This window comes from Homo sapiens, chromosome 22 (assembly GCF_000001405.40).
Source record: "Homo sapiens chromosome 22, GRCh38.p14 Primary Assembly".
Lineage (NCBI taxonomy): Eukaryota > Metazoa > Chordata > Mammalia > Primates > Hominidae > Homo > Homo sapiens.
Window position 1 is genome coordinate 23890687 of NC_000022.11, and position 22416 is coordinate 23913102.

At 51.1% G+C, this 22416-nt stretch overlaps 1 protein-coding gene and 1 long non-coding RNA gene across 2 annotated transcripts, besides 4 other annotated features; one reads left to right on the plus strand and one right to left on the minus strand.

Annotated features, from left to right (window-relative positions):
• Positions 3024-8244, minus strand: MIF-AS1 (MIF antisense RNA 1). The gene is made up of 3 exons (NR_038911.1): positions 8158-8244; positions 5143-5424; positions 3024-4846 (listed from the first exon to the last, which is right to left on the minus strand). It is a non-coding gene; the product is annotated as an MIF antisense RNA 1 (long non-coding RNA).
• Positions 3372-4179: an enhancer, noted in NCBI's record as "H3K27ac hESC enhancer chr22:24236245-24237052 (GRCh37/hg19 assembly coordinates)". NCBI's record gives its function as "activates a minimal SCP1, AML or CMV promoter by ChIP-STARR-seq in naive H9 embryonic stem cells {active_cell/tissue: H9 hESC(naive)}" and the evidence as "EXISTENCE:reporter gene assay evidence [ECO:0000049][PMID:30033119]".
• Positions 3697-4537, plus strand: MIF (macrophage migration inhibitory factor). The gene is made up of 3 exons (NM_002415.2): positions 3697-3896; positions 4086-4258; positions 4354-4537. Exons 1-3 carry the CDS (start codon positions 3789-3791, stop codon positions 4418-4420), a joined length of 348 nt encoding a protein of 115 aa, NP_002406.1. The 5' UTR covers positions 3697-3788; the 3' UTR covers positions 4421-4537.
• Positions 4180-4987: an enhancer, noted in NCBI's record as "H3K27ac-H3K4me1 hESC enhancer chr22:24237053-24237860 (GRCh37/hg19 assembly coordinates)". NCBI's record gives its function as "activates a minimal SCP1, AML or CMV promoter by ChIP-STARR-seq in naive and primed H9 embryonic stem cells {active_cell/tissue: H9 hESC(naive and primed)}" and the evidence as "EXISTENCE:reporter gene assay evidence [ECO:0000049][PMID:30033119]".
• Positions 16158-17003: an enhancer, noted in NCBI's record as "NANOG-H3K27ac-H3K4me1 hESC enhancer chr22:24249031-24249876 (GRCh37/hg19 assembly coordinates)". NCBI's record gives its function as "activates a minimal SCP1, AML or CMV promoter by ChIP-STARR-seq in naive H9 embryonic stem cells {active_cell/tissue: H9 hESC(naive)}" and the evidence as "EXISTENCE:reporter gene assay evidence [ECO:0000049][PMID:30033119]".
• Positions 17850-18694: an enhancer, noted in NCBI's record as "H3K27ac-H3K4me1 hESC enhancer chr22:24250723-24251567 (GRCh37/hg19 assembly coordinates)". NCBI's record gives its function as "activates a minimal SCP1, AML or CMV promoter by ChIP-STARR-seq in naive H9 embryonic stem cells {active_cell/tissue: H9 hESC(naive)}" and the evidence as "EXISTENCE:reporter gene assay evidence [ECO:0000049][PMID:30033119]".

Consider the following 22416-nt stretch of genomic DNA (forward strand, 5'->3'; position numbering starts at 1 on the left):
TGGAGAGAGATGACTCTGCCCGGGGAGCCCAGGCTCCTGTCTGGGTGCACACTCCAGGGCTAGATGGTGACTTCTCAGCTACTCTAGCTTCATAGGCTCATAGTGCATGTGAGCACTCATGTGGACACACGTGCACGCGCACACACATGGACACACACACACACACACACACCGCTGTCTTTGGAATCAGACCATGAAAATGCTTCCTCAGAGGCCTAGGGGTGAGGAAGCTGAGGTGAGTTGTGCCTCCAGCTGGATGTGCTGGGATGGGGTGGGAGATGAGGTGGCCACACCTGGGTGGCAGGAACTCTGGGGCAGTGAACCTTCTAACGAACAGATCTGGGATGCTGCCATGAGGAGGAAGAGGGAGTCAGCAGCCATGCCTGCCAATGCCTCCTAGCGCATTTGTCCATGGTTAGCGGATAATTATTGTGTCCCTATGGGTCCCAAGGTGTATTATTTTTTTTTTGCTCTTATAATAAATCAACACAAATTTTTAGCAGCTTCAAACAACACGCATTTATTATCTCACAGTTTCTGTGGGTCAGTAGTCCGGCGTGACATGACTAGGTCTTCTGTGTAAGGACTCGCATGGCCAAAGTCAAGGTATCTGAAGGGACAAGGGAAAAATCCACTTCCAAGTTCAATCTGGTTGTGAGCAGAATTCAGTTCCTTGTGGTTGTACCATGAGGTCTCTGGTCCCCTTCATCTTCAAAGCCGGTAATGGACATCGAGTGTTTCTCTTGCTTGGAATCTGGCACTCTAGCTGGAGAAAATTATCTGCTTTTAAGAGTTCATGTGATTAGATTGGGTGTACCCAGATGCTCCATGCTAATCTCCCTATTATGCACAGATGCATAATCCTAATTGCATCTGTGAAGTGCTTTTTGCCAGGTAACATGGCATACTTGTAGGTTCCAGGGATTAGTGCTTGTCCTCCCCCTGCTATTCTTTAGTGGGCAGGGGGTCATCTGCCTACCACGGAGGTAAGGGGTCAGGAGGTATGCATACAGCAATGCCCAAAAAGAGACTGTCCCCACTGGGATGGAGTTTACCGCCTAGACATGCAGTCTTAACTCAGAAATATGGAGATAGCCTCGAAGGACAGGACAGGTACTGGGCACGTGTGGGAATGGACCAAGCCAGGTGCTCCGGGGGCTTTCCCAAGGAACTAAGGCTGAGCCAAGAACTGAAGGATGAGTTGGAGTCAGATGAGGGAAAATGTGGGCAAACTGGATTTCAGAACCAACCCCCAACCCTGGAGCCAGGAGCCATGGTACTGAAGGACAGTGCGCCATAACTCAGAGAACCAGGGAGGGTTGGCGGAGGCTCACAGGGACCGGGTTACCCCAGGGCCTTGTGACAGTACTACCCCTAGTATCAGAGGAGACTGTCATTGGCATTTAGGCCACTTGGTGCTCATAACACCTCTATGTCAGGTGAACACTATTGTCATCCCCAAATTACAGATGGGGAAAGTGAGCCAAATGTCCATGCTAGTAAGAGGCAAATCATATCACTTCTTTGGGTACCCTTCTAGAAGGATGAGGCTGACTGCCACTGGAAACAGCTGGGGAGGGTACAAGGAGATGACAAGTGGCTCAGAGGCTGTCCTGGCTATAAGAATTAAAGAGGAAAGAAACACCAAGGGTGGCTCGACAGTCAACAAGGACAGGTTTATTTTGGAAAACAAACTTGAGAGGGGCTTCTGGCCAAGTTAGGTCAGAGCCACACTCTCTTACAAACTAAGGATATTTAAGGGTTTTGGAGGGGGTTCTTATCATAGGTTCTGAATGTTTCTGTGTGAGGGAAAGTTTATTGCGGGGATGGAATGTCTCTGGTCAGAAGGGAGGCTGTCTCCGGGTTGGCATGTTTCTGGTCAGAGAAGGGTTTATCTTAGGGTTGGAATGTTTCTGGTTATGCTGACATTAGCTATTAGGCTGATATTTTCGGGCTGGATTTAGGCGGCTTTTAATTAAGGGGGAACTTAGAATGGTGGTGTTTGTTCAAGATGGCAATGCTCCTGCTCCGTCACTGGCCAGGTAAGGCAACCCTTTGTTATGGTAACAACCTGAGATTGGCAGGGGCTCACCTCCAGGGGCAGCTCATGTGCTTGCTGGCGAGGCTGCACCTTGTCATTCAGGTTCACAGGGCACAGGTCAACCAGGCCCTGGCTCTTCAGTCTTCTGCCTGGAGTGACTTATGTAATTCTGCTCAGCTTTCATAGGGCACAGGGAGTCGGGGCTAACTCTGCTGCCTGGGGCTGGAAACAGACTCCTCCCTTGAGGAGCAGCAGTCCACCATAGGGAAGTCACAGTGGTCCAGGCCAAAGGGGATGCAGGTAGTGTAGACTAGGCGGTAGTTCAGGGAATGGAGAGAAGTGGGAATAAAGGGATAGTGAAAGGAAGCATATTTTACTGGCAGGTGATGAGGTGTAGGAGGACAAGTCATACATTTGGACTTTACAGAGCAGTGGACACTCAGTCAGCTGCTGTCAGCGCCTGGGACTTAGGGGAGTGCCCCTGGCTGGAGACATGGTATGGAGTGCCATCAGTTAGGGAGCCCTGGGCACAGGTAAGAGAAGGTGTGACACCAGGAGGGAAAGAGTCTGGGGCCCAGCTGCAGGAACCAATACCCATAGGCTATTTGTATAAATGGGCCATGGGGCCTCCCAGCTGGAGGCTGGCTGGTGCCACGAGGGTCCCACAGGCATGGGTGTCCTTCCTATATCACATGGCCTTCACTGAGACTGGTATATGGATTGCACCTATCAGAGACCAAGGACAGGACCTCCCTGGAAATCTCTGAGGACCTGGCCTGTGATCCAGTTGCTGCCTTGTCCTCTTCCTGCTATGTCATGGCTTATCTTCTTTCACCCATTCATTCATTCATTCATTCAGCAGTATTAGTCAATGTCTCTTGTATGCCTGGCACCTGCTAGATGGTCCCCGAGTTTACCATTAGTGGAAAAGACATTTAAGAAATTCACCAAGGGCTCTATGAGAGGCCATACACGGTGGACCTGACTAGGGTGTGGCTTCCCTGAGGAGCTGAAGTTGCCCAGAGGCCCAGAGAAGGGGAGCTGAGCACGTTTGAACCACTGAACCTGCTCTGGACCTCGCCTCCTTCCCTTCGGTGCCTCCCAGCATCCTATCCTCTTTAAAGAGCAGGGGTTCAGGGAAGTTCCCTGGATGGTGATTCGCAGGGGCAGCTCCCCTCTCACCTGCCGCGATGACTACCCCGCCCCATCTCAAACACACAAGCTCACGCATGCGGGACTGGAGCCCTTGAGGACATGTGGCCCAAAGACAGGAGGTACAGGGGCTCAGTGCGTGCAGTGGAATGAACTGGGCTTCATCTCTGGAAGGGTAAGGGGCCATCTTCCGGGTTCACCGCCGCATCCCCACCCCCGGCACAGCGCCTCCTGGCGACTAACATCGGTGACTTAGTGAAAGGACTAAGAAAGACCCGAGGCGAGGCCGGAACAGGCCGATTTCTAGCCGCCAAGTGGAGAACAGGTTGGAGCGGTGCGCCGGGCTTAGCGGCGGTTGCTGGAGGAACGGGCGGAGTCGCCCAGGGTCCTGCCCTGCGGGGGTCGAGCCGAGGCAGGCGGTGACTTCCCCACTCGGGGCGGAGCCGCAGCCTCGCGGGGGCGGGGCCTGGCGCCGGCGGTGGCGTCACAAAAGGCGGGACCACAGTGGTGTCCGAGAAGTCAGGCACGTAGCTCAGCGGCGGCCGCGGCGCGTGCGTCTGTGCCTCTGCGCGGGTCTCCTGGTCCTTCTGCCATCATGCCGATGTTCATCGTAAACACCAACGTGCCCCGCGCCTCCGTGCCGGACGGGTTCCTCTCCGAGCTCACCCAGCAGCTGGCGCAGGCCACCGGCAAGCCCCCCCAGGTTTGCCGGGAGGGGACAGGAAGAGGGGGGTGCCCACCGGACGAGGGGTTCCGCGCTGGGAGCTGGGGAGGCGACTCCTGAACGGAGCTGGGGGGCGGGGCGGGGGGAGGACGGTGGCTCGGGCCCGAAGTGGACGTTCGGGGCCCGACGAGGTCGCTGGGGCGGGCTGACCGCGCCCTTTCCTCGCAGTACATCGCGGTGCACGTGGTCCCGGACCAGCTCATGGCCTTCGGCGGCTCCAGCGAGCCGTGCGCGCTCTGCAGCCTGCACAGCATCGGCAAGATCGGCGGCGCGCAGAACCGCTCCTACAGCAAGCTGCTGTGCGGCCTGCTGGCCGAGCGCCTGCGCATCAGCCCGGACAGGTACGCGGAGTCGCGGAGGGGCGGGGGAGGGGCGGCGGCGCGCGGCCAGGCCCGGGACTGAGCCACCCGCTGAGTCCGGCCTCCTCCCCCCGCAGGGTCTACATCAACTATTACGACATGAACGCGGCCAATGTGGGCTGGAACAACTCCACCTTCGCCTAAGAGCCGCAGGGACCCACGCTGTCTGCGCTGGCTCCACCCGGGAACCCGCCGCACGCTGTGTTCTAGGCCCGCCCACCCCAACCTTCTGGTGGGGAGAAATAAACGGTTTAGAGACTAGGAGTGCCTCGGGGTTCCTTGGCTTGCGGGAGGAATTGGTGCAGAGCCGGGATATTGGGGAGCGAGGTCGGGAACGGTGTTGGGGGCGGGGGTCAGGGCCGGGTTGCTCTCCTCCGAACCTGCTGTTCGGGAGCCCTTTTGTCCAGCCTGTCCCTCCTACGCTCCTAACAGAGGAGCCCCAGTGTCTTTCCATTCTATGGCGTACGAAGGGATGAGGAGAAGTTGGCACTCTGCCCTGGGCTGCAGACTCGGGATCTAAGGCGCTCTGCCCGCCGGAATCCGTTGTACCTAGGGCCACCACGTGGGGTGCTGGAGGTGAGCCGACCACGGAAGAGGGGGAGGAGGAGTTGGAGTTGGGAGGAGTCCGAGGTCTTCTAGGCCTAGACCTTTCTCTCAGCCCCACCTTCCCCAGCCTTCTTGTTGGGCAGAGGGTAGCCAGAGGACAGAAAGATCCCACCCAGAGCCACTCACTGCCATCCACTTTGTTAGGTGACTTCAGGAGAGTTTTCAGGCGGGTGGGTGGGGGAGGTGCAGAGTTCTTGGTCATACCGCCCCGTCCACCCCCGAACCCCACGCCTTGGGTTCTGCTCCCCTCAGACACCCACCAAGCCTCCGCCACAGCAGTTCCCTGAGGAAATTGGGCGTGGGGTTTCCATTGGGACCGTTCGTGTTCTGTGGTGCCACAGACATGTCTGTAAAACCTTCAGTTATGTTTGGGCGCAGTGGCACAAGCCTGTGATCCCGGCACTTTGGGAGGTGGAGGTGAGTGGAGTGTGACTCCTCTGCTTCTCTCAGTCTCCAGCCACATCTCGTCTCCAGTCCCCTGTTCACTCGGTCATCCCGCGCAGTACTGGACAGCGAGCTCTCCTTCCAGAAGAGCAATGGGGCTGGGTGGGGTGAAGATTAGGAAGAGGAAGGAGAATAGAAGCTCCAGGGAGTCTGGAAGGGTGGCACCCATCTTGGGATGGGGCACCCCTTCCATGAAGGTCTCTAAAGCAAGGCCCTCCTCAGCTTACTCCCTGCCAGCCGAGGGCCTCAGTCTCATTGTTAACTCAGTGAGAGGGCGGTGGAGCCCCTCGTCTACCTCCCAGCTGGGGGAGACATGGGGGGCATGGGATGGCTCCAGCTGTAGCGGGAAGGTCCCACTCCTCTCAGCCTGGCTTTCAGGCTTGAGGTTTCCTTCTTGGATCTGAGTACCTGTGGTGTAACAGGCACCCTCCTCGGCCCTGGCCTTTATCACATCCCCTCAGCTCCTGGGTGCCCCCAGCCCCAGCCTCCCAAGGCCTGAGGCTGAGCTTTGCCCAGGACCCCCAGTTCCCCCCACAACAAACTCTTTCTGCCTCGGGCCCCACACCCCACCAAGCCCTGGCTGGCCCCCTGGCTCCCACCCCGCCTCAGCGGTCTTTGCTCTCGGCTGTGTCACAGATAGGGAGAGCAGGGGCGCAGTGCCCCATGAGCATCTAATGCAACTCCCTCATTTCACAGATGAGGACACTGACCCCAGGATCCAGGGCATGGTCATACACTCAATGCCATGCCCCCTGCAAGGGCCCTGTGGCCTCACATGAGCAAGTTAGACTCTGAGGGCCGAGGAGATGGGCAGGGCAGGCTGGGCACCTGCTGTGTGAGGGCAGGAGGGTTGGTGAGAGCTGTCCTCCAAAAGCAGGTGAGTGTCTGAGGTTCTGTGGCCCCCTGGGGGCATCCACAAGGTCATGGGTCCTTGGACTCCAGGAACAAAGGGGGTGTCTGTGGGTCAGGGACCTATCCGCTTGCCCTGCCCAAAGTGTTCCTAAGTCCCCTGGGACTAATAACCGGCCTGCCTGCTGGGGAGGTCAGCTGCTACATCCCACCTTCAAGCCACACCTGCCCCCATTGACCCCCATCCCATGGCCAGCTCCATTTCCTCCAAAGCACAGGCTCCACTGCCCACCAGGTGGTGGGTCTCTTCCTCAAACCCCTGTTTGACTGCCCCAGGACCTGCAGGGTCAGCCTTGGAAATGCATTTCCAAGTAACGCCACAAACTCTGAGGTACAGGACAGACAGGTGTGGGGTCCATCTGCCTGTTCTCCATCACTCTGGTGGTACTATGTCATCTGCTGAGAAAGACCCCCGGCCTACAGGGTGACCCTCACTCTCCTCAGGGCCACTGTTTGCAACAGACAGACAGCCTGGCAGGCCTTGAACCTCATTTTGTAGGTTCAAGGCCTGTCCCCCATCTGTCCACTATAAGCCTCACACACACCATTCTTCTGGGATACCTTCCCTGAGGCCACCTGGTCAACACCCACAGGCCCCTTTGCTTCAGCCCAGGTCCTGTTAGCTGAGGTTTCCATTTCTGGACATAGCTCCACCCAGTTCTGTGATCCGTTGGGCTGGTGGCACCAGGGGCCCCTCGGTACTTGTCCATTCTGGACAGCCCAGCAATGTAGGCTTTTCCCAAGACTTCCCACCCTGCATGTGTCCCACCTCATCCCCTCCAGGAATTTTGCTTTGTTGCAGAGACTCCCTCCCCACCACCCCCCACCGCCAGCCTCCAGACCCCACTCCCTTCTGGGAGCCCGATTCCAGCAAGATCAGGATCAGGCTCCCACTCTGCTCCTTCTACTGGCCTCAGTTTTTCCCATCTGTGAAATGAAGGGATTCATCAGAAGTCCTTCCCACATACTCAATCACGGAGGCATGACAGGGACATCTCACATCCTCAGAGGCACGGTTAATCCAAGGAATGCCATGGGAAGGGAGGAGACAGCAGGTGGCCTGTGCCTGCACTCAGGTCTTGATAAATTGTGAAATCTCTCCCTCACCCCTTCCTCGGAGGGCACTATTGTTCCTGATGTGCCAGCCTTGATGGCAGTGGATAGGGAGGCAGGGACAGAGACAATGAGGAAGTGTGGTTAGGTATCTACTTAGAAGTCTCCAGATGGAGCCGGGAAGTGCTAGGAGGCCAGTGAGGCCAGTCTGTGCAGCAGGGCAAACGAGTGGTATCCTGCTGGGATGCAACTCAAATGCCTTCACTGGGAACTGCTCCCCCACCAGCCCCACACTGAAGGGCTGGCTCTACCACTCACAGGAGCTGGCAGGGCAGGCAATGAGACAACCCTACTGCCTCTAATGCAGTAGATAAAATTAATGCAGGGCCAACCCTCATATCAGAGTGGTTTTTCAGTTACCTGGACAAGTGCCAAGGGAGGGGCCCCTGGGGCCACCAGCCCAAAGACCACAGAACTGAGTGGAGCTCTCTATGTGCAGGAGACACACACAGAGATCAACTGATCCTTGGAGCTTGGGAGATTTCCAGGATTTCTGGGCCACTGACACTGTTTCTATAAAGCCCTCTTTGGCCATCTCAGTTCCTTTCCAGGCTAAGCAGTGAAAGCCAAGTCTTAGTTCTCCAGGCCTGGGCCTTCCTGAGTAATTTACAGGACTGGTGTGAGGGACAATGTCAACCCACCAGCCAACTGCCCAGATTTCCCCTCCTGGCGAGTGAGGCCAAGCCACTTCATTTCTATGTTTGAAGCCCATGTAAAAGAAACAGAGATTGTCAGTTTCAGAAACCGACTCTGTCCCTTCAGTCCTGGAACCTCAGGCCTCATCTGGTGACTATGGGGTCTCAACTTACAGTTTAGCTCTCAAAACAGCCAGACAGAGCACCAAATTGAAAGGCTACAAATGAGAAGTATCGTCCCCACCGCCCCAGTGACTTGGCTTCTTGCGTACCTAGTTCTCTTCTCAGTTTAATAGGTAATAGATTTATATGGCTCAAATTCAAAGCATGCCCAGGGGCTCCAGAGAGAAGGCTCCCTCCTGTTGCCTCCCTCCACAGGGTAATCCTTTCTCAAATTCACTAGATCACTGCATCCAGACAGGGAGACACTGGATCCCTCGTTCATCATGGCTGCGTTCTTACCCCTCCCTAACTCCTTCCCAAACATAGCTACATCCCTTCCACTGTTATATAACCCTCCAATTTTGGCCGGTCAGGGAGATGGATTCAAGACTTATCTCCCATTCTCCTTGGCTGCAGCACCTGAATAAAGCCCTTCCTCCCGGCAGTGATTGGCTGTGCAGCATGCAATGGGACCCAGACAAAACCCCTGGTGTTTCAGTAACACATTCAGACTATGGAACAGATTAACCCCGGCTCCCTAGAATTTGTTTTCTGAAGAACAAACAAACAAGGCAATAATGTCTTATGAAAAGACATCAGTAACCTTAAGCCTGTAAACCCCATCCATCTGTAGGGCACCCCATCTCACAGCAAAGCATGGGTGACAGCTGTGTGCTGAGAAGAGTCGGAAAAGGAGCCATGCTTCCAAGAATGTCTCCCTCATAACATGATGAGATGAGTCCTTAGTGAATTGCCAACCAAAACAAAAAACACAGCTGCTAAAAAAGAAGGTTCCTCCTTTGGAATCCTTGTACTACCATATCAAAATATTGAGAAGGAGCATCTCTTGTATTGACAGTAAGGATGCTGATGACTATTAGTGAATAAAAAGCCAGAATGAAGGACATGAACTTACACACATTTAACATTTCGGCACAGGTCAAGTAACTACAATAACCTATATACAAGACAAACAAGACAAAGTATATTTAGAATACATGCGATGAGTATTGATGCAGAAATGGACATTTCTCAGAATAAGATATGACTTTACAGATACCATACAGAGAATATGATTTCATGCAGATGGAGAAGATGTGGTGGGAGTTGTGGGAGAGCAATAGAAAATACATTTCCTGGCTGGGTGCAGTAGCTCACATCTGTAATCCCAGCACTTTGGGATGCCAAGGCCAGGAGTTCAAGACCAGCCTGAGCAACGTGGTGAGACCCTGGTCTATATAAAATATATTTTTAAAAAGTTTCCTGTACCTAGAAACAAATCCAAGATGTACTCTACAGAGAACCTCTACAGAGAAAACTAACACCCTGAACGTTATTGGAGAACTAAATAAATGAAGAGACTGACCATGTCTCTGTGTTGGGAACAGGCCCCCCAAAATCTGGCCATAAACTGGCCCCAAAACCGGCCATAAACAATATCTCTGCAGCACTGTGACATGTTCATGATGGCCATAACACCCATGCTGGAAGGTTGTCGGTTTACCAGAATGAGGGCAAGGAACACCTGGCCCACCCAGGGCGGAAAACTGCTTAAAGGCATTCTTAAACTACAAACAATAGCATGAGTGATCTGTGCCTTAAGGACATGTTCCTGCTGCAGATAACTAGCCCAACCCATCCCTTTATTTTAGCCCATCCCTTTGTTTCCCATAAGGTATACTTTTAGTTAATCTAATATCTATCAATGCTAATGACTGGCTTGCTGTTAATAAATACGTGGGTAAATCTCTGTTTGGGGCTCTCAGCTCTGAAGGCTGTGAGACCCCTGATTTCCCACTTCACACCTCTATATTTCTGTGTGTGTGTCTTTAATTCCTCTAGCGCCGCTGGGTTAGGGTCTCCCCGATCGAGTTGGTCTCAGCATCTCTGTACTGGAGGCAATATTGTGCTCGTAACAGTTCTGTCTGGTTGATGATTCAGCACAGTCCCAATCAAAATTCTAACAGATTTTTCTATGGGAATTGACAACCTAATTCTAACATTTATATGAGACTCTAAATGACCAAGAAGAGTCAAAACATTTTCTTGTAGAAGGCAAGGTGTGAGGATTTGCTTTTTCAATGTTAAGACACATGATCAAGCTACACAATTAAGGCAAAGTGGAATCAGAACATGGCAGACAACAGACCAATGGAAAAAAGAGCAATCCAGAAACAGACCTCTCCACACACATGGACACAATATCAGACTGGGGGAGCATTGAAATCCACATGAAAAGAAGAACTCATTCAACTAGGGGTGCTGGGCAGCTGGCTACCATGTAAGGAGAAACATCAAACTGGGCTCCTATTTAACTCCCACACAAAAGTCAGTTCTACATAGATTACAGCCATAAAGAAAAGGCCACAAAGATCTTAAAAGATGGTGTAGAAGAATATCATCTTTATGATTTAAGTAAGATAAAATGAGTACATACAATAAGGAAAGATTGACACACTATTAGTGAGACACCGTAAGAATGAAAGACATGCTACAATTTCTGCAACTTATCTTAATGCAAGTGAGCCCCAAAACTGGGGCTCAGCCTGAGAGCGTTCTTGGCTTTGCACAGGAAATAATTTGAGAGTGACCCAACAGAAAAGAGTGAAAGCAAAGCAAGTTTATTAGAGCAACAGAGTACAGAAAAGTGGGTTTCATAGAGCATCCATACAGGTGGATGGGGTTTACAGGGCTACCCCATAGGCAGAGCAGCACTCCTGGACTACCAGCTATCTATATGTATAGCTACTTCTTATTATATGCTAAATAAGGGGCAGGTTATTCATGAATTTTCTAGCAAAGGGATCCGGAGTTCCTGGAACTGAGGGTTCCTCCCCCTTTTAAATCACATAAGATAACTTTTGGGTATTGCCGTGGCATGTGTAAACTGTCATGGTGCTGGTGGGAATGTCTTTTAGCATGCATTATCACTAGCATATAATGAGCAGTGAGGGACAAAAGTGAGGTCACTTTTGTTGCCATCTTGGTTCCAGCTGGTTTCAGCTGATTTCTTCACTGCATCCTGTTCCGACCAGATTCTGTTTTGATCAGCGGGATCATGACCAAGGTCTTGACCAGTGCTTGGAAAACAAGTTCTGCTGATCTCCTATCTCAACATTACATTATTAGGAAACCCTATTTAAAAAAATGAGCAAAGGACTTTAGAAGCCACTTCACAAAACAGAATATCCAATGGAAAAGTTGTTCATCGTCAGTAGAAATCAGGGAAATAAGAACCACCATGACACACCACTACTAACCTCCTCAGCTGTAACGTGCCCACAATCCCACTCCTCGATATATTTATCCCGGAGAAACTTGTATCTCGAAGCAACCCAATGTCCATCAATAATTGGATAAATTATGCTTGTTCATTCATGGAATATTCAACAGCAGTGAAATGAACAAGCTATAGGTACAAATATCACCACGGTCAAATCTCATAAACATATTGAGCAAAAGCCACAAGATATATATATATAATGCAGTTCCATTTATATAAAGTTTGAAAACAAGGACCCCCAAACTGTACTGTTCAGAGGACCACGTGTAGGTGGGAAAATTGTGATGAAAGCCAAGAAATGATTTCTATCACTGTCAGGACAGCGGTCCCACTGGCCAGGGGCATTTGGGAGGTGGCAGGGTGCTGCAGTATTTTTCTCTCTGTTCTTACAAGTGCCTATATATATTTATTAAACCTTATGCATTTATGCATTTTTCCATATCTCATACTCCCTGATACAAAAGTTAACATGCACAGTAGAAGGGAGTGAAGAGGAAGTGAAGAGCACCACCACCAGGCCGACCGTTGGGTACCGTGCCATGCAGAAGCACTGCCCAACTGCCCCATCCCACTAAGACCTTGCCAGACACTGGCCCATACGGAGGGCTGTTCCCACTTTGTTGGCCTCTTCCCCAGCCCACCCCCAGCCTCCCTGAGCTTCCCACCACAGTGTTTCTGCTGGGAGTGGGGGCCGTTCTTCCTCACCTCCTTGTTTCCCCATGAGGTGCTTATGTCCCTAAACAAGCACCTCCTTAGCGCCCCCCGTCTAGCTCAGTCTTTCTGGGCCCTGCTTTGCTGTGTGCTCCCTGCCTTCTGGCATGTGCTATGACCCTCACAACTGTGGTGGAGGCCCCAGGATTGGAATGGGAAGAAAGGCGTGTTCTATTTAAGCCCCCTTAAATCCAGCAGAGGCTTTGAGCTTTGAGTCCTCAAGTAACCACATAAAGTCTGAGGCTTTGGGGATGCCTGGTGTGTGCGCGGGGGCTTCACAGGGACCACACTGGCTTCTGGCCTTGGCAGTTCCCCACAGAGCTTTGGAGCCACGAGCTGATCCTTACAGTCTTAGGGTTGGCTTTTAACTAGTGGCCCAGGCCGGAGGTTCCATCTTGCTGGTATAAAGTAAGGTCCATGTGGGGATATGACCTTTGGCAACTCAGGGCAGTGCTTTGGGGATGGTCACAGCTCAGAGCCGTGTTCTCTGACTCCTGCACGGGCCTCCTATTAATCCAAAGAGAGACAGTGCAGAGGAGGCTACAGAAGGGTCCCAACCTCTGAGGCATGAATGGAGGAGGGCAGGCCCAGGCTTGCTGCCTTTACTGTGTTCTCAGCCAGGTCTGAGATCACCACTTCCAACTGCGAAGGCAGCAAGGGGCCGGTGCAACCTGGTATGAGTCTTGTACCACCCACAGTGGAGTTGTGCCAGATGAGCTGTCCTCAAAGCCTCCTGCCAGAACAGGGACTGGGGAGGGTCCCTCCTGAGCCCACGAAACACATCCCTAGGTCTGCTGAGTTAGTCCCCTTGTGCGGCTCAGCTTGGCTCTCGATTTGTGCCTTACATACATTTTGTTTTAATTTGTTGTTTCTTTTTAGAGACAGGGTCTCTCCCTGTTGCCCATGCTGCAATGCAGTGGTGCAATCAAGCTCACAGTAACCTTGAACTCCTGGGATTAAGCCATCTTCCCGCCACAGCTTCTTGAGTGGCTGAGACTACAGTTTTGTGCCACCATGCCCAGCTAATTATATTTTTATTTTTGTAGAGACAGGATTTCACTAGGTTCCCCAGGCTGGCCCTAAGTGATCTTCCCGCCTTGGCATCCCAGAATATTACAGGGATCACAGGTATGAGCCACCGTGCCTGGCTATTACGTACATTTTGACCCAGGAATTGGGAGACTAAAGTCGTGGCTTTGCCCACAGAAAGGTAAGAGTTTGTTAATGGACAACAGCATTAAAAGGAATCAGGGCCCTTCAGAGAATATGCTATTTTCTTGGGTTGAGATAGAGAAACAATGAAATCAATACGCATCCAAAGCTAGCAAGGGCCATACAAATGGCTTGTGCTGAGAACCGTCTGTCCCAGGGAATTGGGTTTACTTGGGAGATCCAGAAGGAACTGGAATGGTTTGAAAAACACACCACAGTCTTACCCTTAGAATGGGAGCAGTGGTGTCAGGAGGCAGGCTGTGCAGAGATGAGGGATCATGGGACCCTGGAGTGGGCCAGACCAACTTAGGGGACAGGAAAGCTCCCTGATGTGAGGGGAGGGCAGACGTTGGGAACAGACAAGGTCACCACCAGGGAACCAGGTGACCCAGAACACTCTTGAGGGGGGGCCATTCAATGCTGCAGACAGCAACTCCGTAAGAATCAGAAGCCATTCCATGAGCCAGGGCAGCCCTCAGAGGCTGTAGGGAATTTGGGCAAATTAAAGGACAGAAGATCAGCATCAAACATTGAAAATATTTTAGGTATACCTGGGGACAGCATAGTTACTGTGGGTGGGTGTCTGGGGTTGCTCAGGACCTAAGGGAATGCATTTTTTAAATGTAGGGATTAGGTGTCAAGGAGGGCTCAGTGGAGTCCTCCCTGAGGAGAGCACAGCCAGTCAGGAGAGAGGGGCTGACGGCAGGGAGGCTGATGGCCATGGCCGCCATCTCTTGGGCGCAGCTGTGGGACTGTTTCAACAGCAATTCTTGTGGCAAACCTGGGATTGCCTGGTTTTGTTTTCTGTTGCCAGGGGAGACCCCCAAGTGACAAAATCTAGAGGAACAGATCAGAAAAAGTAAATATATGGGCCGGAAAGCAAAGAGAAAGTAAAAGGAGGGAAGGCACTGGGGTTGAACACAAATGACCAGCCCTGTGTGTGAAGACTGCCAGCAGCCAGCACAACTGCCAGGGCCCCAGCTGAGCCATGCTGGGGATGCAAGCCAGCAGTCGCATGAGGAAGCACAGCTGTGGACATCTGTCCCCAACTGCTGACAACTGTGCTGCAGAAACAGTGCTGCTCAAGACTGGGAACATCCCCAGTGGAGGACAGCTAGTGTCCTGAGAGCCAGTGGGACACAGCCACTGCTCCCTGGTGCTCAGCTCAGCAACCTGCTGGGCTGTGCTGCACTGACTGGGGCAGGATCTCTTAGGACTGAAGACATCCATGCAATGGGCATACAGAGGGAAATGGAAATGATGAGATTTCACACATATGAAAAGGAGAAGGTATTATAAATAAGACCCAGGCAGGTGATGACTGCTTGTACAGATACGCTCAGGGAGGAGGACAGCAGAAATTGCTTCCTGCTCCACCCCAGCGGGGTCGCCAGGGCTAATGCTAACCCTCCACCTGGTTAGATATGCTGTGGGGTCTAGGGTTTGTCTTCCCTGTCTACTCTCTTTCCATCAGCTGCCAGGGCATTCCTGCTGGAGTACTGAGGTAGCAGGAAGAGAGGGCTACATGGGGCTGGGTCCGGGATCCTGGAGACATCTCATGGCCTGCATGCTGCTCTAAGGACTTCCCTGTGGTTGGCGAGCAGGAGGCTGAGGCTATCACCATCTGCTCATTCCTAGTAACTCTGGGTCTTTTAAAACTGGAGCACATGGCAGGCTAGTGAAAATGCTGAGATGTGGAGAGAAGGATCTCACTTTCCAGGACACCCAGCCCTCCCGTGCCTACTGGGCCACTTTGCTCACTGGGTGAGCACAGAGCCTCGGGGAGGAGGTTAACACCACTGGGCTCTGACGGATCCCTGGGCTCTCTTTGATTGCTTTGGGCTTGAATCCTTTGACCTTAAGACTTTTTTTTCCCTTTGGACTTTAACCTAAAAGGACAAGGGAACTTAATTTTTTGACTTGAATTTGACCCTAGGAAATTTATGAAAGACATTTCTAGGTTGACTTTTTATCTGGGTATCTGGCATCTTATATATCTGCAGAACCTCTGACTCAAATTTGAACTTTGAGGTTGGACCTAATTTAGGATGGGAAAGTAGGAAGAGTAGTAAAAGAATGTGTCGTCTGGAGTCCAGGCTACCCTTGGAATTAAATAGCATTGAATGATGACCCATTCCAAGTCCTGGGTGGGGGGAATCTATGCTGCCCCGAGGTCTCCAAGGGGGAGTGGATAACACAGGGGCAACTGGGCTTAGCAAGTAGCAGCAATATCGCTGACCCCTGAGTTCAGGAGCAGGGGGCAGTTTCAACTCGGCTCCTTGGGTCTTCCCTTGGGATTTGGCCACTTTGCCATGTGGGTGTCCAGCAGTGCCCTCTAATCTGGGGTGAAGCAGAGCAGCCTGCCCAACTTGTGAAGGTCTCTCTCCACCACCCCAGACCCCTAGGAACTCCCAACTGACTGCTGATATCAGACCTCCTGCCTCTGTCTGGGCCCTAAGGAAGTGGTGTCCTATGTGGTCCCCACCCTACTCTGGGACTCCTCCCTCCTTTTTATCCCCAATGCTACAGTCAGCCTTGGTATCACTCCCGATTTCCACAGGCCTGTCCCAGAACCCCTTACACCTGTTTTCTCTTCTGGAAGTGAACCCTGAGCTAACATTTTAGGTAATTTTTTTTAAGGACCCACTCTGTCCATATTGCAAGAGGCAGAATATGTTCTGATAGCGGAGGCCATGGGGAGCGGGAGAGGGAAGAGGAGAGCTTACAACAGATATCACCCACTGTCCATGCTGTGAGCCTGCGGTCCCCTGCTGCTGGGGCCTCTGCAGGGAGTTGGTGAGCCTGATCCCTGGACCTAGAGACTGAAGTGAGGCTTTGCAGTCCCTCGCTGAGTGAGACCCCTTGCTGATCCCTGCCTGGTGGGCTCCCAAGGCCCCCCTGTTGCAGCCCCTGCTGAGCATCCTCCTGCATGCACTTTCCAACCTTGGGGGACCCTTCTCCTGGTCCCCCCAGCCTTAGCTGGTTCTCTTCCCTGAAGGCCCCCGGAGGCGTAGGCTGGGCTACCCCAGCAGCGGGGGCCTGGCTATGTGGGGAAAAGAAAAAGAGATCAGATTGTCACTGTGTCTGTGTAGAAAGAAGTAGACATAGGAGGCTCCATTTTGTTCTGTACTAAGAAAAATTCTTCTGCCTTGAGATGCTGTTAATCTATGATCTTACCCCCAGCCCCGTGCTCTCTGAAACATGTGCTGTGTCCACTCAGGGTTAAATGGATTAAGGGCTGTGCAGGATGTGCTTTGTTAAACAGATGCTTGAAGGCAGCATGCTCGTTAAGCGTCATCACCACTCCCTAATCTCAAGTACCCAGGGACACAAACACTGCGGAAGGCCGCAGGGACCTCTTCCTAAGAAAGCCAGGTATTGTCCAAGGTTTATCCCCATGTGATAGTCTGAAATATGGCCTCATGGGAAGGGAAAGACCTGACCGTACCCCAGCCCGACACCCGTAAAGGGTCCGTGCTGAGGAGGATTAGTATAAGAGGAAGGCATGCCTCTTCGCAGTTGAGACAAGAGGAAGGCATCTGTCTCCTGCCCGTCCCTGGGCAATGGAATGTCTCAGTATAAAACCCGATTGTATATTCCATTTACTGAGATGGGGAAAACCGCCTTAGGGCTGGAGGTGGGACATGCGGGCAACAATACTGCTCTGTAAGGCATTGAGATGTTTATGTATATGCACATCAAAGCACAGCACTTAATTCTTTACCTTGTCTATGATGCAGAGACCTTTGTTCACGTGTTTATCTGCTGACCTTCTCTCCACTATTATCCTATGACCCTGCCACATCCCCCTCTCTGAGAAACACCCAAAAATGATCAATAAATACTAAGGGAACTCAGAGGCTGGCGGGATCCTCCATATGCTGAACGCTGGTCCCCTGGGTCCCCTTATTTCTTTCTCTATACTTTGTCTCTGTGTCTTTTTCTTTTCCAAGTCTCTCGTTCCACCTAACGAGAAACACCCACAGGTGTGGAGGGGCAACCCACCCCTTCAGGCTGCATCAGCAACTCAGTTATCCAGGCGCAGGTTCTAGGGTACCCACGTGTTGAGCTCAGTCCCTCTGACTCCCAAGCCAGGACTCTGTCTGACGGCACCTGCTTCGGTCAGGGCGTGGGAGATTGGCCTGGGCAGGCTCTTCCTCCCAAGGCAGGGTCAGTGTTGAGTAAAGGCCAGGACCATTTCCCCAGACAGGCAAGGCAGGGCCCAGGCCTGGGTCCAGGGCCTCTAAGTCCACGTCCCCACTTTGGCCACATGGGTCATGAGGGGTTTCTGTGTGAGTGGCCTTTTACACTTTCCCAAGCAATTTCCCCAGACATTATCTCATGTTATCCTCATGAGGACCACCCTGTGAGGTAGGAATTAGCAACCCTGTTTTAAAGGGGAAACTGAGGTAAGGTATGACGCTTTCCTGGCAGGGCCAGCCTCTGGCACAGCAACAGGGGGACAGTGAGGATGGCCAGATCTGGGTGCCCCTCCCCACTGCCTTCTCTTCCAAGCTACAGTCTTTTATTCAAATTCTTCTCCTCTTTTTCTCTCTCATTTCCCCTCCCCCGCTGCCATGTTTTTTATGCTTGTGGATGTCTCATGCAAGAGTGTTCAATAGCTCCTCCCAGCAGTCTTAGAAGGGAGTGTAAAGATGACCAGACACGGAACCCCGAGAGTTCACTGGGGGTTCCCAAAGGCATGTATAGGATCCAACGTGTTTTTTCTGCCTCCCACTCTGCCCCCTTTCAAGAAGTGCACCTGTGGTTCAAAGTTCAGCTTTTACTGCCGGTGCATGTGTAGGAGAGGACAGGGCAGGCTAGAGCCCTGCTAAGGGCCAGAGAATCTCATCCCACCCAGAGGAGGGTTCTTTTAGGCGGTGGGTACAAATCTCAGAACATCCCCACTGTATTGTTGAGAGGGTGAGGTGGGACATGTTGGGGGAAGAGCGAGCTGCAACCGGTGCAGCTGCGATTATTCAGAGCAGAGGTGGCTTCAGAGACAACATTAAGCTTAACCCTCAGGGGCCCTCTTTGCCTTGGGAGGAGCCCTATCAATGCTTTTGTCATGTGCTTTTGGAAAATATGTAGAAGACATTTTTACAAGTTGGTTGAGGCCTAGTGTCTCTTTTCAGTTCATATTCTCCCTCTGTCACGCGTCTGTCCTGTTGGAATGGCTGTGGCTATTTTGGATATGGCTAAGGGAGAAGGTAAAATTGGGGATCATTTTGTATGAGTTTAGTGGGACACATTTCTGGGCTTTGAAGTCACTTCTGTATCTACTAAAAATTGCTATAGTTATCTTTGTGCATAAATTACTTCTGGCTGATGTAAGCAAATCCCCGTATCGGGACTCAGCCGGGGAGGGTTTTTGGCTTTGCTCAGGAAGGAATTCAAGAGTGAGCTAACAGACAAAACTGAAAGCAAAGCAAGTTTATTAAAGCAACATTGTACAGCAAAATGGCTGCTCCACAGACAGAGCAGGGCTACCCCACAGGTAGAATAGCACTCCAGGATTGCTGGCTAGCTATATTTATACCCCCTGCTAATTATATGCTAAATAAGAGGCAGGTTATTCATAAACTAGGAACAGGAAGTTCCTGGAACCATATAAGATAATTCCTGGGTTATTGCCGTGGGATCATTTGTAAACTGTCATGGCCCTGGTGGGAGTATCTTATGCAAATGCATTTTAATTCCTATTCCGAGCTGGTTTTGGCCATTCTTTGTTATTGTTATGTTCTGTTTTGATCAGCAGGGTTTTGACAGGTGCTTGGAAAAATCCTGCTGATCTCCTCCCTCACAGGGACATGCCTACTGCCAAAGGAGAGACGGAATTATCTTTCTATTCTCCCCATAGAAAATATTACAAAATCACTGTCACACGAAAATGTGATCAAAGAGTCTGCAGCCAAGAAATATGGGGGGGACAGAGTGTTTTAAAGGCGAAGGTGTGTCTGTCACTTAGTAAAAATGTCAGGATTCTTTTTTTTCTGGAGTTTGTGGTGTTTGTCGGCTTTTCAAAATTTGTCATTCCTTTTCTTAATCTAAATAATCATTTTATAGAGAAAAAAAATTACTCATCAGTGTTGATGATGCCCTGGTTTTCTGTTCAGCTTTGTTTTCCAATCAACTCTTCACCCAAGACTCAATCCTCCACCCTCCAACTCTTCATCCAAGACTCAATTCACCCAACACTCAATCCTCCACCCTCCAACTCTTCACCCAAGACTCAATCCTCCACCCTCCAACTCTTCACCCAAGACTCAATCCTCCACCCTCCTCCAACTCTTCACCCAAGAGTCAATCCTCCCCTCCCAGTGTTTACTGATCAGCCTCCTATCAGCTATTAATGGGACCTCAAACATTCTCTATGGCTCTGTTCTCACGCAATGCAATCTGCTAATCTCTAGGAACTGCAGACCCCACTTAATGCATTTAAAGTATGTATAATGTGACCCAATAGCTTCTTTATCCCAAGCTTATTGATTCCTATAAGAATCATCATCCTCAAGTCACACATGAGGAAACTGAGGCCAAGGCCAATGCTAAGGCTGATGGAAGTGACAGATGTTGAAGATGACACAGCATGACACGAGGGATGAGGTCAAGGCTATTGATGAGGTCAAGACAGCTGTTGTGCTTTGTCCCAAGGCCATTCCAGTTGGTGACAAAATAACTATAACAGATTCCTGGCCAGGGCTTCTCCCTCACAGCAGCTGCCTCCTACTGGAGTCAGAAATGCCTTGGTTTATATAGTTTCATTCATAGGCTGTCTTAACTCTATTTAAGCAGAAAAGGGCTGAAATGTCTTGCCCAAGATCCCTCAGCTAGTAAGTGACAGATGCAGGTTTCAAATCCAGGTCGCTGGACTCAGGGCAGGGCCAGGGGGAATGAGGGCAAACAGACTGGCAGCTGATCAAACTGACACTGCCTTCCTGGTAAAGGGGACAGTGAGGAGAAATTGACAATAGCAGGAGGCTCTGACCACAACAGGCTGCCTCCAGTCTCTTCTCTCACCAGTGGCCCCCAAAGCCACGTGAGTTGGGCTTTCTGACCACACTTTATTGCATTTGCAGACCCTACATGCTTTAAACACACTTTTAGTATCTCACTGGGTCTCTAACAACCCCAGGAGTGGGCAGGGCAATAATTATTTCACAGTTGACAAAGCAGCTTCACGAAAACATTGGGAGCTCAATAACTTCCCTATTGGGATGCACCCCCAGGAGCTGTTCAGTTAATGTCATAGCAGGTTCAGGGAATGGGCTTAAACCCCAAGATATCCTACACCATTTTGTACACAGCAGGTTCTGTAGGGAGAAAACCAACAAGGTCTTCCCGGAGGGAATGGGCTTAAACCACAAGATATCCTATACCATTTTGTAAGCCTCCCTGTGATCATTTCCCATCCAAGTACTAACCAGGCCAGACCCTGCTTAGCTTCTGAGATCAGACGAGATTGGGCGTGTTCAGGGTGGTATGTGAAAGATTCTCCCCGGGGCCTGAAAGTTTGGGGGGATGAATAACTCCTCCCTTCTCAGGCCCAGTCCCAAGGCACAAGACCACTTGTGCTAGCAGCGTGTGTCAGCAAGATAGCAGAAGCAGGAAGAGAGCTGGCCAGGAGACACGTACCCCTGAAGATCAAGAGAGAGGCCATCTGGGTACCATGTAGCAGTTACATCAGACTGGGACACTTCCTGTTTACAGGAGACTATAAAACCCCTGCCCCGTCCTCACCTGGGGCTGACGCCATTTTAGGCCTCAGCCCATCTGCACCCAGGTGCTCATTAAAACAGCGTGTTGCTCCACACTGCCTTGTGTTCTTTGCTGGCAAGCTCTCGGGGTTCGAACCAACACAAGAGCCTTACAGTATGGCCGCAGATGTCTCCCAACATTTCACAGAACCTGGTCAGAATAAAACATTCCATGGGGGTTCAGGTCATAAAAAAATACTGCCTAACCACCTAACCACAGGAACATCTCTATTACATCCTGCTGGATGAAGGGCCCAAGGAACATCTTCAACATCCTGCAGGGGAGCAAGCTATACTGCCCCTTCTCCCCCGGTCCAGACCCATAACTGACAGAGCAGGAGCACTGCCATCTTGAACAAATACCACCATTCTAAGTTCCCCCTTCATTAAAAGCCGCCTAAATCCAGCCCCAAAACATCAGCCTAATGGCTAATGTCAGCATAACCAGAAATATTCCAACCCTAAGATAAACCCCTCTGACCAGAAACATGCCAACCCCGAGACAGCCTCCCTTCCGACCAGAGACATTCCAACCCCGCAATAAACTTTCCCTCACACAGAAACATTCGGAACCTACGATAAGACCCCTTCCAAAACCCTTAAATATCCTTAGTCTGTAACAGAAGTTAGTCTGAGCTAACTCGGCCAGAAGCCCCTCTCAAGTTTATTTTCTAAAATAAACCTGTCCTTGTTGACTGCCCAGCCACCCTTCGTGTTGCTTTCCTCTTCCTTATAGTAAATGTCCCAGTCTGTAAGTGGGACTCGTGCTCTGAGACTAAGCTGGTCCCCCCTCCACAGGTTTGTGCTGGCAATAAACCTGTGTTGCTGTTAAGCTGCCAACTCTTTAACCCTCACCTTCCCTTCAAAACCTAACAAAGATGAATGAGGCATGAACATGAAGACAGAGGGTCAAACCCAAAGAGCAGATTCCGTGAGAAGTCTCCCTATTGACAAGGGTTACTAAGGATGGGGTCTTCTCTGGACCCCCTAGTCTTAGACTTAGTCCACCACATCCAGAAGCCCTTGAAATAAGATTGCAGTGCTTCTGGCATAGCCAAAGACATAGACTTCTCTAAAAATCAGTGCCTAGCTCTCCCCAGGCTGGGCCCTAATTTTTAGTCCAAGCTGTATTATTTTGTAAATCTTCCTGCCATTTCATAGACCCTGGTCACAGTGAAACATTCTGCAGGGGTTTGGGCTGTAAGTAACATCCTCCCCAACTGTCTGACTTCTTTATCACATCTTGTTGGGACAAAGGTTTAAGAAATATTTTTATTAACATCCTCTTGGGCAGTAAGTCCTACCATT

Excerpts from the sequence above, each read along its gene's own strand:
- MIF (NM_002415.2), top strand. The coding sequence starts at position 3,789 with ATGCCGATGTTCATCGTAAACACCAACGTGCCCCGCGCCTCCGTGCCG. Across the intron at positions 3,897-4,085 it reads CCACCGGCAAGCCCCCCCAG|TACATCGCGGTGCACGTGGT; the intron begins GTTTGCCGGGAG and ends CTTTCCTCGCAG. Across the intron at positions 4,259-4,353 it reads CTGCGCATCAGCCCGGACAG|GGTCTACATCAACTATTACG; the intron begins GTACGCGGAGTC and ends CTCCCCCCGCAG.